General features: G+C 37.6%; 1 protein-coding gene across 13 annotated transcripts in view, besides 1 other annotated feature; it reads left to right on the top strand.

Annotated features, from left to right (window-relative positions):
* RAB3IP (RAB3A interacting protein) overlaps positions 1-18,627 on the top strand; it is an 84,963-nt gene that overhangs the window by 359 nt on the left and 65,977 nt on the right. For 7 of the 13 annotated variants that reach the window (XR_007063038.1, XR_007063039.1, XM_047428268.1 and 4 more), the window contains exons 2-3: positions 16,784-17,059; positions 17,805-18,063. Coding sequence is in view for 9 of the 13 variants with exons in the window: in XM_047428268.1 (XP_047284224.1) it covers positions 16,784-17,059; positions 17,805-18,063 (535 nt within the window). In the remaining 4 variants the exon portion in view is untranslated. Of the gene's footprint in view, positions 1-259; positions 432-780; positions 1,270-16,783; positions 17,060-17,804; positions 18,064-18,627 lie in introns of those variants that run through there. The other 6 variants (NR_103519.2, NM_022456.5, NM_175624.4 and 3 more) reach the window with 2 other exon arrangements.
* Positions 8-837: a silencer, noted in NCBI's record as "silent region_4654". NCBI's record gives its function as "represses an Ori minimal core promoter by ATAC-STARR-seq in GM12878 lymphoblastoid cells {active_cell/tissue: GM12878}" and the evidence as "EXISTENCE:reporter gene assay evidence [ECO:0000049][PMID:35858748]".

The following is an 18,627-nucleotide window of genomic DNA, read 5'->3' on the forward strand; positions in this document are numbered from 1 at the left end:
AACAGAGCGCGGGCCCGACGAAACAGAGCGCAGCTCCGGCTCGCGCTGGTTCCCAGGGAAACCGCCCGCGGAGGAACCTCGGGCCAGGGCCGTGACACCTGCGACGAGCCCCGCCTGGCGCCAGGGGGCGCGGAAGCGCGTCCGCCCCCAGGCCCCATGCCGGGCTCGCCCCGCCCCTGCCGGCCACACCCCCCTACCCCGCCCTCCCTCCGTGAGGACCGGCCGCTCCCGGCTCCCGGCCCCCGGCCCCGCTTCCGGCGCAGGCGCAGTCCCGCGTTCCCTCGGCGGCTGCCGGCGTAGTGAGCCCGCCGCCGTGGAGTGTAGCGGAAAGGGCTCGCCGTCCTCCTCCGTTTCTCGCTGCTTCGGGACGCGCTCTCTGCGGCTCTGTGAGCGCCCCTGAGCGCCGGCAGCGGCCGCGGTGGGTTCTTCAGGTGAGTGCGGCCGCGGGAGGGAGAGGCCCGGAGCGTAGAGCACCGCCCCCCTCGGCGCCCGCGCGCCCGCCTCTGGCGAGTCGGCCAGGAGGGGCGGCCGCGGCAGGTGCAGGTGCTGGCGCCGTGCAGGGCGCGGCACGCGGGGGTTCGGGGGGATGCCCAGGCCCGGTGAGCTCGCTCTCCGCCTGGGCACTTGGGCTCCGGGCCCTTGGGGGCGGCGTGTGGGGGGGACTTTGGCGACCCGGGTCAGCCGGCCGCCCCCTGGGCTGCTGGTGGGCGTCGGGCGGCGGCTCCTCCCCCGGGCACGGGCGCGTTACACATTAACTGCGCGGTCCCGCGCGCCCGGGGCAGGGAGCCCGAGTCCAGCGGGTTACCTGGCGGCGGGCGGGCGCGGCCGGGAGCGGAGGGCCGCGGTCGCGAAGAGGATGAAGAGAGAGTTCCCGAACAAGTCGGAAGCAGCTCACAACACCGGACGCCGCGCGGCAGGGCTGTGGACCTGGGGTGGTTTCGTGTCCCAGTCTTAGGAAACTACGCGCGAGGCACCGTGCTGAGGCGTAGAGGTCACCCTCGGGAGGTTTCGGTGAAACCTGGTGGGAAATTCCGGGCAGGCGCCCGGAGTCGCGCCCAAGTAGGCAGCTCCGTGCCGCCAGACTTGTGTTCGGGGGAGTTGAGACGAACTGCACGGGTGGGATTGCATGGCTCTGCCCTCCCAGCGTTGACAACTCGCCCCGACCGCCCAGGAAGCGCGAGCTTACTGGCTCCAGAAGTGATGATGCTGGGTGGAAGTCGCAGCATGTGAAGAGTTGCCGGTTGTTATGGGATTAAAAAAGATGAAAGGGTAAGGTCTTGAAAGACACGAGCGCTGAGTTAGTTAGTACTGATTACTGAGAGGCAATTTAGTTTCATGGAAATGTTGCCTGTTCGGAGGCTACCTGTTATACACTCTCCTGTTTCACCCCAACTCCTTCCGTTCAGTGTCGGGTTAAAAGCCTTGTAATCTCTTGCAGTGGAATGATTGCATAATTGGAGGAGGGGCCCATAAGAGGATTACAACAAAACTGTTCCATTGTAAATCAGTTGAAAGACCCAGTTCTTGTTCATTATCCTTTTTCTCATTTTGTTGTTCATGAAGGTTTTTTTTTCTTCCAGTGCTGAATGACAAATCAAGGAGAAAAGAGGCAGAATAGGGTTGTAGACCAATCGTAGTAAATATTTGATACTGTTAAATATTTCACCAGTTTTATGGGGCCTTGTTCTGTTATCATTTGTTATTTATTTACTAGTACTGTGCATTTTGATAGGACTTTTCATGTTTGGACAGACAGTGTATTCCAGATGCGGCTTATGTGATCTAATCCTAAAGCCCTTGTGGAATTTATAGAAATAAACAGTTATACAATTAAGTAGTCCATTTTTTAACTATTAAATGAAAAGCCATTGCATTTTTTTCCATTACAGTAATGTTACATATTAATGTATACCTTTGTGAACCAAAGTGTTTGATACAACTCTTCCTTCTGTGTTTGGTAAACAACTCATCTGTGGTACTGAATACTTGTAATCTTTCACCAGGATGGCCATTTAATGTTTAGCTGCTTTGTGGGATTTCTGAATAGATCCTATTGTACTTTTTGAATTAGTGCAGTTATCCATATGTTTCCTTTAATATTCTTTACCTTTGATTTTGTCTAAACTCTCATCCTCCCCCAACACACACATCCTCTACAAATAATTTTTAAAATGGAAAGGTTCTTAGAAATGTTTCACCCCCTCATTTTTTAAATATGGCACGAAAAAATACTTTGTAGATTACAGTAGTTTTATATGCATTATAGTAGTTACTATACTTTTTTCCTCCTCAACAGGAGTCAGTGAACAAATTAGTGAGCTGGCTGAATGAAAAATTATTTAATGTTCAGCTCCATCACTTACTGTGCATAAAACCTTGAGTAAAACATTTAACCTGTTTGAGCTTATTTTCTCCATTTGTCAGTGGAAATACTATTAGGTTGAAATTGCTAATATTCTGCTGTTTTTTATGTTTCAACCTAATATGAACTTCATAATGGTAAGATGAGGATTTAATAACATACTCCATTAGAGATGTGGGGAAGGGGAGAAGGAACCAGTGTGAGCTTGATTGTGTGCAAGGCACTGTGTGTGCTTGTTTTCGATACCTTGACTCCTCAGTCCTCTGGACATTCCCGGGATATAGGTGGTTTATCAAATTTTACAAGTCAGGAAATGGAGGCTTAGAAAGTTGCGATAATTTGTCTATGGTTACTTAGTTGTAGGTGGTCGTACAGCTGGCCAGTGACAGAGCCGGTATTAAAAACTGTATCCGACTGCCCAAAATGGAACGTAGTGCTTTTGTTTCTTACATTCCTGGTCTGCACCTTCTATTAAAGAGCTTTGTAACTATAAGGAGGCACACAGATGACAAGTGTTACCATTTGTATTTCTGGTTTAAAAATATCCAAGTTTTCTGAAGACGGTGATACCAGCATTGCTACTACAGTTACTTTTAAGTCTAGTGCTTATCAAGCGAAGTCCTGGTGTAAGCTTTATACTCATTTACTCTCAGAGTGAGCGAGGAGATAATACTTTATCCCTATTTTGTAGTTGAGAAAATTGAGACCCTGAGACCTTATGTAGTTTGCTCAACGTCACATAGTTAATTAAGTGACAGGTCTAGATTAGATGTCAGACAGTTTGTCTTCCATGTCTGTGCTCTTAACCACTACACTCTGTCATTTCTTCATGTATAAGTGGTAATGCTAAAGAATTGTTTGCTCATAATCACTACATTATCACTTCTTTATGTGTAGCTTATAATGCTGAAGAACTTTGTAATTTAGCTTTTATGAGATACGTAATGTTAATGTAATATGTAATTCTCATTGTGTCACCAGAGATTTTTTTAAATCAAATACTCATTGAGCATCTACTCTGCAAGTCACAGTAGGGGTTAAAGGAAACTGTTCTTAAGGAATATGGAAGGTAGGGCCTTATAATCATTCCCATATCTTTTATAAGTTCTTCAAAATGTAGAACGCACTTTACATATTTTAATGAATGTCAACTAAGACAAAGTGCTAGGATAGTTGAGTAGTGGAGAGGAAGGACAGATGGATAGTGGGTAGAGATATTTGTGCATTGAGGTAATGAGGGAAAGCTTTGAAGATATTCCAAGGGAGTACGCTTTTTCACACTAAACTTTTTTCCGATATAATTCTGATTAAGATGCAGTTCATCAAAGGATAGTAAATTGGTTACTACGCATTTGATATCCTAAAAACAAAATATCTGAGCTTTTGTAAACTGCTTTCTAGCTTGTTTCTCCTTTTTTATGCTACTATCCTTAGTTGTACCAGATGGTACTCTTTTTAAAAATTTTATGCTTTTATAATACTGAGTACCTCTTTTTTGGTATTTATGAACTTTGATATTTGTGTTGTATTTGTAATTGTTTCTAGGGCCCTAGAAACATGTTTATTGGCAAGGTGGTCTCTTCCTCTAGTCTACAAGTGCTTCGAGAGTAGGGCTTACCTCATTTTATAGCTTTAACATCGGGCCAGGTAAGTACTGTGCTGTGTTTGGTGATGGATGATCAGTTGAAGAATGTTAGGATGTTTTGAAGCTGCTCTAGCAGTAGAAATTGAAATGAACATTGAGAAATGAAGGGACAAAGGAAGGAAGAGGAAGATATTTATACAACTGGGAGCATTAACTTGCTATCTCTATTTTCCCTTCTGCTTTCCTTTTCAACTTACCACTAAATGAGGTAGTTTTATAAGCTTACATCGTACATAGTCATGGTTAGAGAAAAGTGGAAAAAGTAATCTGATTTATCTTAGAATATAGGGCAACACGAAATTAGATAACTATAGCCGTAAACTGATATTACTTAGAGGAAAAAGAATGAAAATTATTCAAATAGTTCAAGTTCATGAAAGATTTGATGCTTGTCGTTAACAGTAGGATTGTAAATATAATCATAATGGCAGTTGATGAAATTCCTCTGAGGGGTATGGATACATACACAAATAAGTATATGAATTGACAGCTTAGTATGAAGAAACTATTCAAGAATGTGAGAATGCCCTATGAGCATAAAGGAGCATATAGATGATAGCTTAGAACCACTTAAATAAGTGAATTGTAATTTGATATGCCCAGATAAAAGTAATAGTATTGAATATTTGTTTGGGAGCATCTGGTTGTCAGATAAGGATAAAGTATAAAAGAAAAACCAAAATAAGTTTGAAAAAACAATAAGCAAATTTGTATCAATTCCCTGTGGGGAAAAGAATCATATTTGAACTACATGCCTCATAAAGACTAGTTTTCCCTTTCTTTCCTTTTACCTAAGATAAATAAAGATACCTTCTGATTTGTAAGACAAACCCCTCAGTATGCTTTTGCTATTTCCCCCATTACATTTTTTTCTTTCTTAGATCTTTATAAAATCATACATTTATGTTGTGCTTTACAATGTATACATTTTTACATTGATATGCCATTTGATTTTCTCAAATGTAGGCAGGGGAGATAATATCACTACCATTATAGATGTCAAAACTGAACCTTAGAGAGATTAAATGACTTGCGTCAGTTCACACAGCTTGTCAGTGACAGAATCTGAACTAGAAGGAAGGTTTTCTGAAGTTAGTCTGTTAAAATGCTCAGGTTTTCTCAAACTTCAATTTCTCCAGTTTTGATACTCTCGCAAAGTATTTACTGTTTCATTTCTATCTTTTTCAGCAAAAATGTAGCCTGAATAACTGTCTCCACTCTTTACCGCTTTGCTATTCATTCCTTCTCTAAAGACTCTTGTTTATTTATTTAGTCAGTGCGTATTTCAGCACCTGTTGAATGTTTAGTTGGCATATATTCTTAAGAGAATATGTAAAATGAAGCTTCCATTATTGAGAAAAAGAAATTTGGAAAATGATTTTTTTAAAAAATTATACTTTTAAGTTCTGGGATACATGTGCAGAATGTGCAGGTTTGTTACATAGGTATACACGTGCCATGGTGGTTTGCTGCACCGGTCAACCCATCATCTACCTTAGGTATTTCTCCTAATGCTATCCCTCCCCTAGCCCGCCACTCCCCCACAGGCCCTGGTGTGTGATATTCCCCTCCCTGTGTCCGTGTGTTCTCATTGTTCATCTCCCACTTATGAGTGAGAACATGCGGTGTTCTGTTAATTTAAATAAATATTTAATTACAAATAAATATTTGTAATTAAATATTAGCTCATTGTATTATTACAAATAATTATTTGTAATTAAATATAATATTAGCTCATAAGTTCAGAACATTTTCTGAAAACTGTCAACATAACACACTGCAATAACTAACATCTCTACACATGTCAGGTTGTACATTGAAGTGTTGTGGAATTAGGCCGGGCATGGTGGCTCACACCTGTAGTCCCAGCACTTGGGAGGTTGAGGCAGACAGTTACTTGAGGTCAGGAGTTCGAGACAAGCCTGGTCAACATGGCAAAACCCCATCTCTACTAAAAATACAAAAAATTAGCTGGGTGTGGTGGCAGGCGCCTGTAATCCCAGCTATTCAGGAGACAGATGTTGCAGTGAGCCGAGATTGTGCCACTGCACTCCAGCCTGGGCGACAGAGCGAGACTGCATCTCAAAAAAAAAAAAAAAAAAGTATTGTGGAATTAGTGGGAATTCATTTGTGATCTATTATAATAAAAATGGGAAAATTGTGTAGCCTGATTGACCATTTGAGTAATTTTGCCCTTGGGCTATTAATTACATTTGCATTTATAAACATAGAATGCTTCTTAAAAGATAAATGTGATTTTTTTTGTCATAACTAAAATGCTAGTTTGGGAAGCCAACTTTAAAATTATTATGAAAGCTAATGAAAAAATGATTTTATATATATACTTGTTTTGTTTTTTCCTCCTTTATTATACAGTATTTGAATAAATTTTGAACTTTCCTTTTTATTTTGAGAGCACTATAAATTATGGAGAGTTTCAAATAAGGTAAGTAGACACAATAGTATAATGAACCTAAAAGTTTCCATCATGTAGCCCAGTAACTATCAACAGTGATCAGTCCTCATCCATCCACTTCTCCCACTTCTATATTATTTTGAAACAAATTGCAAGTCCTGTGTAATTTCACCTGTAGGTATTTCAGTATTTCCCAAAGATAAGAGCAGTTAACTGCAGTACTTTTACAAACTTTGTTCTTTATTTATTTTTTCATTTTAATCTACATTTCCTGCTTTTATTATTACAAATTTTCAAAAATTAACACTAATTCCTTGGTATAAAATATCTACACTTTTTAAAAAAATACACAGGAATATGGGTACTATAGTAAATTCAAGTTTCTGTTTATTTTGATTTATGTGCTGTTTTTTTTTTTCCAAGTCCTGTAAGGAGCTGAATAAGTATTAAATTCTGGCATAGTAACAAAACAGAGGAGGAAATGATAACAAAAATAATATAGGGGAAAATAATAGAACACAAAGCAATAGCAAATGCTCATTTCAATAGCAGTGCTTTAGAGAAACTTCAGTTTTGTCTTTGTGAAAGTAAGAGAAGGGTTCAGAGATTAAACATTATTATTCTGTTTGGATTGTTCACTTCTTTTTTTTTAAACTTTAAGTTCTGGGATACCATGTGCAGAACATGCAGGTTTGTTACATAGGTATACACGTGCCATGGTGGTTTACTGCACCCAGGATTGTTCACTTCTTAGAGATCCTTTGCTGTGCTTTAACCTTTATTCCCATCTCCCTACTCCCTATCCATTTCAGCTTCTAAGTGTATCTCAGATGTAGTGGAGTTAGGTGTTAGAGTCAGACACACCAGAGTTTGAATACTAGCTCTGTTACTTTTTGTGTATTTGACAAAATTAATCTCTCTCAGCCTCTTTTTTTTATATATCTGTAAAGTAGGGATAAGAACCATTTCAAATGAATGCTCTGAAGATTAACTGGAATAATTGTGTGTTTGTGAATAAATATAAATGAAGCTGTTCTGAATGTTTTCCATACGTATATATGCCTCCATCCCCTCATTCCCAGTGCATGACCTTGGCATTAGATCAGACAGTAATCGTTTAACCAGCCTCTAGTCTCCAGTGAAGTTCTCATTGCCTTGGGAGTCATTTTTAAATGACTACATTACAATACATCTATACTTTCTAAAATGTAGATCTCACCATCTCTTCAGGATAAACTTTAAGCAACATTTTCTCTTTTAAAGAAGGCTTTTAATGGTCTGTCACAGTCTGCCTCTCCAGCCTGCTTTTCTGTTACTGTCTCCTTTGTTAGTTTTGTTAGTGCCAGACCCTTATTCCCTGACTGTCCTATCCTATTCCCCTTGCCCATCTACTGGACTTGTATTCAGCACTGAAAATCTGACTTATATTTTACTTCTCTTTGAGACATTCTCCTCTTCCCTCTTCCCTCCCCACAACCCTCAGAATAATCATGCCGTGGCTCGTAGAGGCTGTGTGCCATCTCTTTGGTCCATTTGTATCTGTATTCTTAGCACTTAGTATCAGGATTTGCCCGGAGGTGTTGAAGCTGGCAATCATCCTTCCATTCCAACAAGAATAAATATAATTTATCACATATATGTATGAAATAAATGTATTTAATATGTATAATAAATGTTGAAGGTTTTTAAAGAAGTGATGGAATTTGTAACTAATTCATGGAATTTATAACAGTTCAATTCATTATATGCTATTGAAGTAGCAGTCTCATTTTTAATCTCAGAAACTGTTTCTTTCATAATTCATGTTAAATTAAGAAGTCATTTGGGAATTTAAAAAGCATCTGGACTTTCCTCCCTGCCCCCCTTCCACAACTGTCTGTGAATAAATTGAAAGAGGAAAATAGTGCTTACATAATCTTAAACCTTTTCTTTTGACATGTCTTGGAATATTTAATTTCTATTATTGTGATAATACAAGTAAAACAAAATTATACTACAGGATTTATAGATGTTTACTTTTTTTGAGGAAAATCACTCAAAACAATAAGCTTTTAAACCCAAACTCAACAATCATTGCTTTTTGTTCTTAGTGATAGTGCTTGTGCTGATACAATATGATCAAAATATTTGGCCAGTATTAGGAAATGTCCTAGAGATGATTATAATAGTAAGAGCCAGTCTTAATTGGTAAGTGCCAGATATGGTGCTAAGCTCTTTAATTCTCATGACTACCTTAGGAGATAGGTACAGTTTTCTCCCCTTGCCCTTTCGTGTGTGTGTGTGTGTGTGTGTGTGTGTGTGTGTGTGTGAGAGAGAGAGAGAGAGAGGATCTTTCTCTGTTGCTCAGGCTGGAGTGCAGTGGCACAATCACAGTTCGCTATAGCCTCAACCTTCCTGGCTCAGGAGTAGCTGGGACCACAGGCGTATGCCACCACACTCTGCTAATTTTTAAATTTTTTGTAGAGATGGGGTCTCGCTATGTTGCTTTTGGTTGTTGCTTAAACATCTTGGGCACAAGCAACCGTCCTGTCTTGGCCTTCCAAAGTTCTGAGATTACAAGAACCACTGTGCCTGACCTGTCATCTCCATTTTTAGATGAGAAATTGAGACTTAGATCTTCAGGTCACTTTATTAGTAACTGGTGAAGCCAAGATTTGAGACTGATTCCAGAGTACAAGCTATTTCATGAGATAGTGAATACTGGTTAAGTTACCCTGTTGGCTTTTCTTCTAGTAGACAAGTACATTCCTTTATCTACCAGGATTATTTGATCCAATTCTACACTGAAATAGATGAAGATATTTGGGCTCAGATAAGTTACCTGCCCAGGTTCATAGATAGATCTCAGAGCTTGATCAGGAGCCTTAGCTTTCTTCTTCAGGTACTGATGCTTCTACTCTGCTGTGTTGCCATATTACCTCCTTTGTTGGAAATGATTTACTTTCTGAGTGTAGTGCTTTGAGGAATTTTAGTAAACATAGAATTCAAATTATTTAATTTTCACATATATTAAATTGATATGAAAAAAGATAAAAATCACAGCTTTAGTTTTTTTTTTTTTTTCTAAAATTAAAATTCTATGTTTCCCATTTGTCAAGGTAAGTCCAAATTAGGGGAATGTGCTTTTTGTGGAAAAATGGATTTTATTTTTTCTTTTGGACTACTGATATAAATCAAGTTGCTAGATTTCATTTAAAATATGTATATGCATTTTATTCATGTTCTTCAGATGTTTCATTGAAAATATTTTCCCATTAATTCTGATTTCTTGAGTTGTCCTAGGGATGGCTTTTGTTTTCAAGAAACATTTTAAAAATTCACTTTAATTAGAAAAAGTAAATTTCATAAGTTATTAGGATCTTTCTAGGCATTTATTAAATGAGTTAATATGTATGAAATTCTTAGCACCACTATCTGACAACATAGTTAACCTTCAGTAAAGATTGGCTGTTGTTTTTGCTGTGATAGTACTGATTTCGAGAAAGAAAAATTAACAGGAAATGCATATTAGGGATCAGAAGCAAATTGTTTTGATCAACTTTTTCTTGTGGTCTGCAGTCTGCTTTATTACCTGGAGCTCAGTAATAAGGCCAGCCAAGTTGTGTTGGTGATTCACCCATAAGAATTTAATGTGATCATCTTTTTTACATATTGGTCATGATCCTTGACAAGTTTAATTTACTAATTGGGATAATCAGTTGAAATTAGTTCTTTTTGAATCACTCATTGCTTAATGCGAAAGATACTACTGCTTAAAAATAGTAGTTTATTTTACTCTTATAAAGACGTATGTGAAATAAATCTTAAAGCTTCTATGTATTTAAAGGGCAAAAGATTTTCAGACCAGTGAGATTGGCAGCTCATTACCAGCTAAATTACATTTTATGGAAATTTTATGTGCTTGAAAAAGGGATTAAATTTAATCTCAAAATAATCTCCTTTTCAGAAGTGACTTGAATTTAGACAGTATTTAAATGTATCCCCCAGAAGGGAAACATTGTAGGTTAGAAGCACTGCTCAGAGGCATTGTCCTAAGTGCTATATAACAGGGGTCCCCAGTTCCTGGGCTGTGGACCTAAAGTGGTCTGTGGCCTGTTAAGAATTGGGCCACACAGCAGGAGGTAAGTGGCAGAAGGTAAGTGGCGGACAAGCGAGCATTCCCACTTGAGCTCCACCTCCTGTCAGATCAGCAAGCTGCATTAGATTCTCATAGGAGTGCGAACCGTATTGTGAACTGCACATTGCAAGGGATCTAGGTTGCATGCTTCTTAAGAGAATCTAATGCCTGATGATCTGAGGTGGAACAGTTTCATCCCGAAACCATCTCCTCCCACCCTCTGCCCTGTCTGTGGAAAAATTGTCTTCCACGAAACTGGTCCCTGGGGCCAAAAAGGTTGGGGACTGCTGTTATGTAGTATTATCCCTTTTAATTTTCATTCTGTTAGGTAGCAAAACCAAGACACAGATTTCCAGATGGGAGAACCTAGGCTCAGATTGTCTCAGTAATTTGACAGAAGTGGGATTCAAACCTGCCTCTCTTCGAGACTTGTACTTTATATTCATAGCTTGTGCTCCAGCTAATGGAGTAACTGCGTTTTGTATAAATGCTTTGCTTTCACATGGTGGACATGTCTGGAAAGCCCTTACAAAGGTTTTGTCTTTCTCATTTCTTGCTTGTTGTTTGGATCTTTCCTTTGGCTTTATTTTTTCGGGAATCCTTTGTCTCTGATTTATTTGTCCTTCCCGTGTGGTCTCTGAGTTTATTTGCATCTTCTGTGGCATTTATCACATATCATTGCCTCTACTTGTCAGTCTCCTACTCTAATAGGCTGTTTGAAGGCAGAGTAGATTTTTCTTCTTTCCCCAGATCCTGGCACAGAGTAGGTCATTAGTAAATACTTGCTGAAAGAATGGCTGAAATACTGTGTTTATATGTGGGAAAAATAGGGTTAATGTTGCAGGCATGATGGATTTTAATTCAAAACTAAGAGAAACATTTTCACTAGAACAGTGGAACAATGGAGTGGCAAAGCAGTTCTACTTGTAAGTGTGTCGTGGTGGTTAAGAGCTTGGACAGTAGGGTCTAATAACGGTAGGCTTTAATTCTGACTACTCTAAGCTGCAGTTTCCTCAACCATAGATGCGCTATGCTTAATATTTAGTAAGTGCTCAACGAATACTAGCTGTTATGGGAGGAGCCACCTTAACTTCCTGTGAGATTGGGGCTGGTAGTTGAATGACTTGGCTCCTTGGCTTCCCATTCCCTTCCTCTCTCCCTGGATTATTTTGAAGCAAATCCAAGTAATCTTATTTCATCTATAAATACTTCAGTGTGTATCTTTTTTAAAAGATAAGGATTTTAAAAATACAACCATTATGCCATTATTATCCCTAAAATTAACTATAATTCCTAATAACATAATTTGTTTTTACAGTTGGTTTATTCAAAGAAGAATCCAAACAAGGCCCACAGATTGTGTTTAGTTAATTCTCTTAAGTTTATAAATTCCCTCTACCTCGTTTTTTTTTTTTTTTTTTTTACAGTTTATTGGAAAAACCAAGTAGTTTGTTTATGATGAGAGTTTCCCAAAGTCTAGATTTTGCTGTTTTTGTCCCTGTGGTGTTATTTAACATGTTCCTTTCTCCTCTGTATTTACTATAAACTGATGACCATCAAGAGGCTTGTTTGATTTGGGGTCTTTCTTTTTTTTTTTTTTCTTAGGCCAGAATGCTTTATTAATGGCAGTGATGTTCATTTCTTATTTGCCACATAATATACATAATGTTTGATTGTCTCCGTTTTTGTGACAAGATGTGATCAGTGAGTTCAGGTACTGTCATTCTGATTGATTAACTATAAAGTTCCTCAAACAACCTTTTACCTTATGGTTTTAATAGCTATTTAAATAATTATTGCCCTAAATCCATTATTTCATTAGGATTCCAAAGTTATATTTATTAAGTGGAATTCTGCTAAAAAGAACTTTTTCTCATGAGCTGTTCAGTTCTTTGATATACAGGAAAGCCAGATAAAATACTTCATTCTTTCATTTTATTTACCAATTTTGAAAATAATGAATTGGTTCCATAGCATTGATCAGAGAAGGCCAGTGAGGTACTTTGCTTTATTTTTAGTGTCATTATGACCTCATGGATTTAAAAATATTTGCCTTTCAGTTCTTTGCAGATATTATCCTTTTTGATGTTCAGATTGTCCCGTTTTTGGTTAGTGGGAGTCCGTTTGATATCAGTCCAGTAGTTTTTGATGGTGTGCTTGCTTTCTGGTATAACAAGATGTTCCAGGGTCCTTTCGTACATTTCTGTCCCAGGCTGGAATCAGCCATTTTTCCCAAGGAGCCTGTGTTCTTTTTTTTGGAGGACATGGTATTACTCTGAGTACATGGGTGCGCATGGCTCCTGAGTTGGTCAGCGTTGCTATGCTGACCAACTTTTCATTGGATAAACTTAGAATTTTTTTTCTGGTGTTTCTGAGTAAAATTTAGGCCTCTAGGATTTAAATTCTTTGATTTTATATTTGTAGTTTTTCTAATATGCTGAAAATCTTAGTTCCAAATGACATTAGCATAACTTATTTGCTTCATCTTATAACAAAGTTTCAGAATCACAGTATCAATATTACTACTGTTATTAACATTGAAAATAGGTTGTGACTTTTTTCACTTCCTTTTGCTTTTAGAATACATTCCATTAGGGATATATATTTATGTTGTTATGTTTTAAAATCACTCGAAGTAGTTCTTTTCTGTGTGGTTAAGCTACCATCTCAGTACACAAGTTTATTTGCTTTATGTTTAGGGATTCTTTTTTAAACTTTAATTTTTACTGTTTACATGGTTCCAAGCTCAGAATCAAATCTGTAAAGCAAGGTACTTACAGAAAAAAGTCTAGCTTTCATATTTTTCACTCTGTCATCTCTCCTTCTATAGGTAACCATTTTGCCTGCTTTTTTTTCTTTTGTTCTTTTTTTTTTTTTTTTCAGGATAGGGTCTCGTTCTTTCACCCAGGCTGGAGTGCAGTGGTATAATCAAAGCTTACTGTACCCTCAAATTCCTCAGCTCAAGCCATCCTCCCATCTTAGCCTCCCAAGTGGTTAGGACTATAGGCCTGCACTATCACACCCAGCTAATTTTACAACTTTTTGTAGAGACAAGATCTCACTATGTTGCCCAGGCTAGTCTTTTAACTCTTGGCCACAATTGTCCTCCTGCTTCTGTGTGTCAAGTTTTTGGGATTACAAGTGTGAGCCACTGAACCTAGCCTTTCCATTAAAAAAAAATTATATATATATATTTATTTATTTTTATTCTCCTTTTTTAGATAAAAGGTAGTTTACTGTTATTTATCCTGTTTTTTATCTTACTGGTATATCTTCGATGTCACTTCATAGCGATACATGGATATGTATTTTACATCTGTGCAGTGCTTCATTATGAGGATGTACCCTGGTTCATTGAATCAGTTTTTTGCTATTACGAAGAGTGCTGTTGTCATGTTGCCAGTTTATCTTTAGGATAAAGCCCCAGGAGTGGCATGCTGGGTCACAGGTTTAATATCATTTTGAAGTTATTGCTAAATTTTCCTCCATAGGATTTGTACTATTTTGTATTTCCAGAAATGCAAATGCTTTTACGTTTTATGATTCAGTGAACCTTCAGGATATAAAGAGGTGAATTCATAGTATATGGGATAGAAGAAAGAATCATAAATAGTTACTGATTAAAATGTCAAAATTTAATGCAAACGTAATACAAAGGTTTTTTATGTTAATGAATTGGTTAGTGTACTTGCCTGAACTATATTCAAGTGAAAATGAATTATGTACTTTGAATATAGCAGTTTTCTTGGTATATGTGGGTATATGGATTATGAATAAAAAATGAAAATTCTTTTGGGTGAAAAAATAATAAATTTTAATGGAGTATTAAACACCTTACATTCCTTATTAATCTCATCTTTCATTTGGCATAGTGAATATTTTATGTGAAAAAAGCAAGGACTAGTTTCATTTTGAAGAATAAATCATTTGCTATTAGTAAACAGCTGATTGGATTTGAAATTTGTCATTTGTAGATTTAATTGTTGCACTTTGGGTTGTCTATATGCTGGAAAGTCTGTGACACATACTAATTTGTAATTTTGAAATGATACTGAGTCAGATCTCTTTCAACTTTGCTGAAATCTTTTTGTTTTTATTCTCTACTTGTATTAACACTTTTTATTAAGGATTTGAGAGTTAAATTTTTCAGCTAGTTTAACAAATGACTACTTCTGTATCTTATGGAAGAAATGATGTGCTATATTGTTTGGTTTGGCATTTTTTTTATTTTTATTTTTTGAGTTGGAATCTCAATCTGTCGCCCAGGCTGAAGTGCAGTGTCTCAGCTCATTGCCACCTCCTGGGTTCAAATGATTCTCCTGCCTCAGCCTTCCGAGATCTGGGATTATAGGCATGGGCCACCATGCCCAGCTAATTTTTGTATTTTTAGTAGAGACAGGGTTTCACCATGTTGGCCAGGCTGGTCTCGAACTTCTGATCTCAAGTAATCCACCCGCCTCGGCCTCCCAAAGTGCTGGGATTATAGGTATGAGCCACCAAGCCTGACCTGTTTGGCATTTTCTAAGTTCCGGGAAGATGTTATTCACAACTGTCAAAGTACTATCATAGGAAGGAAAAAAATTGGAAAGAGAGATTGGATTCAGATCCTAGAAGACCTTACTTTTTTGGCTAAGAAGTTTGGTCTCTATTCAGCAGACAGGGAAAATCAATAAAGAATTTGTAAGATGCCATTTAGCTTTGAATTCTTCAGAGGAAAAACTTGAGTGGTACACTCAAGTTAGTTTCCATGTAAACTTTGTGATATAATTGAATAGTTACATGAACTGTTTTTTGCTTATGGAGAACCTGAAGCATATGTGGTATTGTTAGTGGCTGGGCTATGATAATTCAAGTTTATTGAGGCCATACTCTATGTCAGGTACATAGTACTCTACAAAATACTTTACATGGATTGTCTCCTTCAATCCTCACAGCAACCAGGACAAGGGAGGGGCTAGTGTTATCCCCATTCTAATCTCATCAGAGGAGAAATTTAAGGCTTATAGAAATGAAACACATTATCCAGGATTGGATCCTGTACATATAAAGGATATTATTGGAACAATTAGTGAAATTTGAATGGGGCCTGTTGATTAGATGGTAATTTTAATCAATGTTAACTTCCAGATTTTGATGATGATTTTGTGGTTAGATAGAATGTCCTTGTACTTAGGATACACACACACATACACAGATACACGGGCACACACACACACACACACACACACACTGTGTATATGTATACATTGAGATATTAAGTGGGCATCATGTCTGAAACATTCTTAAATGACTCAAAAATATTAACAATTTCATAATCTGGGTGACAGGTATGAGAGAGTATGTGTGTGTCTTTACCGCCTTTCTACTTACTCTAACCAAGGTCATGTATAATCAGAAAGTTAAATATAAATTCAAGAGATCTATGGTACAGCAGGATGACTGTAGTTCCTGACGATATATTGTAAATTCTTGAAAAATGCAGAGAGTAAATGTTGAGTTTTCTCATAACAAAATAATGGCATGAGGTAACGCATTCGTTAATTAGCTAGTTAGCTATTTCACAATGTGTATGTGCCTTCAAACATGTTGTACATGATAAATACAATGTTCTCTGTTAAAAAAATTGTTTTAAGAGTTTCACAGCATAATATAATTGTTATTGAGTCTAAGATTGCATAATACTGTTAGATTTTGTTTTTAGTATTTTCATATTTAAATAGTATACTGAGATAATTTATTTTAATATGAACATTTAATAATTTTAAAATATTTTTAAAAATTAAGCCAATTTTTATTCATTCCTCATACTAATTGATTATTCTCACTTTAACAGCATTGCTTATCACTTTCAGGTTTCTTCTAAATCAGATTGTTTGCCTTTTGTAGTAGTTATACTGTGAGATCGCTTAGTAAATGTTAAGTGATTGTGGTGTTTTGTTTTTGTTTTTGTTTTTTGAGTGGGAGAAGGTCTTGCCCTGTCACCCAGGCTGGAGTGCAGGGTTGTGATCACGGCTCACTGCAACCTGCATTTGGGCTCAAGCAATCCTCCCACCTCATCTTCCCGAGTAGCTGGTACTACAGGCATATACCACCATGTGATTGTGGTTTTTTAAAAAAAGCCTCTTTTATTGTAAGCTTATAATTTACAATGGACTGTTAAACACATTTTATAATTTATGCATTTTAATTTAGTTTTAAATGTTATTATCTAAAAATAAGTATCTGCTTTTTGTTTTAACATAGGTTATCTTATGATGAGGCTTTTGCTATGGCTAATGATCCCTTGGAAGGCTTCCATGAAGTAAACCTTGCTTCACCTACTTCTCCGGACCTTCTTGGTGTGTATGAATCAGGAACTCAAGAGCAGACTACCTCACCAAGTGTCATCTACCGGCCACACCCTTCAGCTTTATCCTCTGTACCTATCCAGGCAAATGCATTAGATGTTTCTGAACTTCCTACACAACCCGTGTATTCATCCCCCAGACGTTTAAATTGTGCGGAAATATCTAGTATCAGGTAGGAAATAAGTAAATCACTTATTTGATTTTTTTTAAAATGGACAGTTTGCTTAGTTACTATATTTTAAGTTTTACTATTTTTAGAAAATTTGAATAACTTAAGTGTGCCTAGGTAAAGAAATACATGACCTGATAATGTTCTAGAACAGGGTTGACAAACTTTATATGTGAAGGACCAGATAGTAAATATTTTAGGCTTTGCAAGCCATGCAGTCTCTGTTGCAACTATTCAACTCTGCCTTTAGAGTTTGAAAGCAGCCATAGACAGTATGTAAATGAATGAGAGTGGTTGTGTTCCAATAAAACTTCATATATGGATGCAGAATTTTGAATTTCATTTAATTTTCATGTGTCACAAAATATTCTTTTAAAGATTTCTTTTCAACTATTTGAAATTGTAAAAACTATACTTGGCTCATTGATACCTTATAAAAACGGGTGGAAGGCTTGGTTTAGCCTGTAGGCTATAGTTTGTTAACCCCTGCTCTTGAGTAGCACTGTCCTGTAGAACTTTCTGTGTTGATGAAAATGTTCTATTTCTGTGCTATCTAATATGAATGATAGGTATTAACCACATGTAGCTATTGAGCACTTGAAATGTGGCTGATATGACTGAGGACATACTATTTATTTAAATATAGAAGCTACCAAATTGGGTAGTACAGTTCTAGAGCTGTGTGTTTAAGCCAGTTCTATTGGAGCATATGCTGATATTTTCTGAAAAATGTCTCTCTCCTTTACAGCTTTCATGTTACAGACCCAGCCCCTTGCTCTACCTCTGGAGTCACAGCTGGATTAACTAAATTAACTACAAGAAAGGACAACTATAATGCAGAGAGAGAGTTTTTACAGGGTGCTACTATAACAGAGGCTTGCGATGGCAGTGATGATATTTTTGGGTTGAGTACTGATAGTCTGTCTCGTTTACGAAGCCCATCTGTTTTGGAAGTTAGAGAAAAGGGCTATGAACGATTAAAAGAAGAACTCGCAAAAGCTCAGAGGGTAAGAAAGAAGATATTTTATTCTTCCATATATTATATTAGAAATTAGTATTTCTCCATGGGGTGGGGCAACCTGCAGAAATGAAATCATGATGGTTGTACATTTATCCGTCACATATGCCCAGCCTCAGCTCCTGTTAGGCAGCATTTAGGAATCCGTGAAACTGGTTGGGTAGTAAAGAAGTTCCTCTAAGACTACTAACTGGAAAAATGTGGCTCTGTTAACTCTTCTGTGCCCCACTGCATTGCCTGCTCCCTGTCTCGTATTATCTGTAATGCAGATTGAGTGGGCTATATTCCACATGCAGGGTTTTTCCTTCTTACTACATGGCTGACTAAATGGTTATTTACTTGAAGTCACTCAGTCTAAGTCATTTTGTTTTGAGTTTAAGCTGAGTTTGAATATTTTCTGTATCTTACCTTGGAGAATTTTCTTGGTAAATTGTTGTGTTTCCCATTTGGTCATTTTAAAAGTTTCTGCTATTTATTTCCAAACTTGTGGCCATATCTTATTCTTTTTCTGAGTCTGCAGTTAAATTTCAGAGGAAAATTTATAGAATGAAAT

This window comes from Homo sapiens, chromosome 12 (assembly GCF_000001405.40).
Source record: "Homo sapiens chromosome 12, GRCh38.p14 Primary Assembly".
Taxonomy (NCBI): Eukaryota; Metazoa; Chordata; class Mammalia; order Primates; family Hominidae; genus Homo; species Homo sapiens.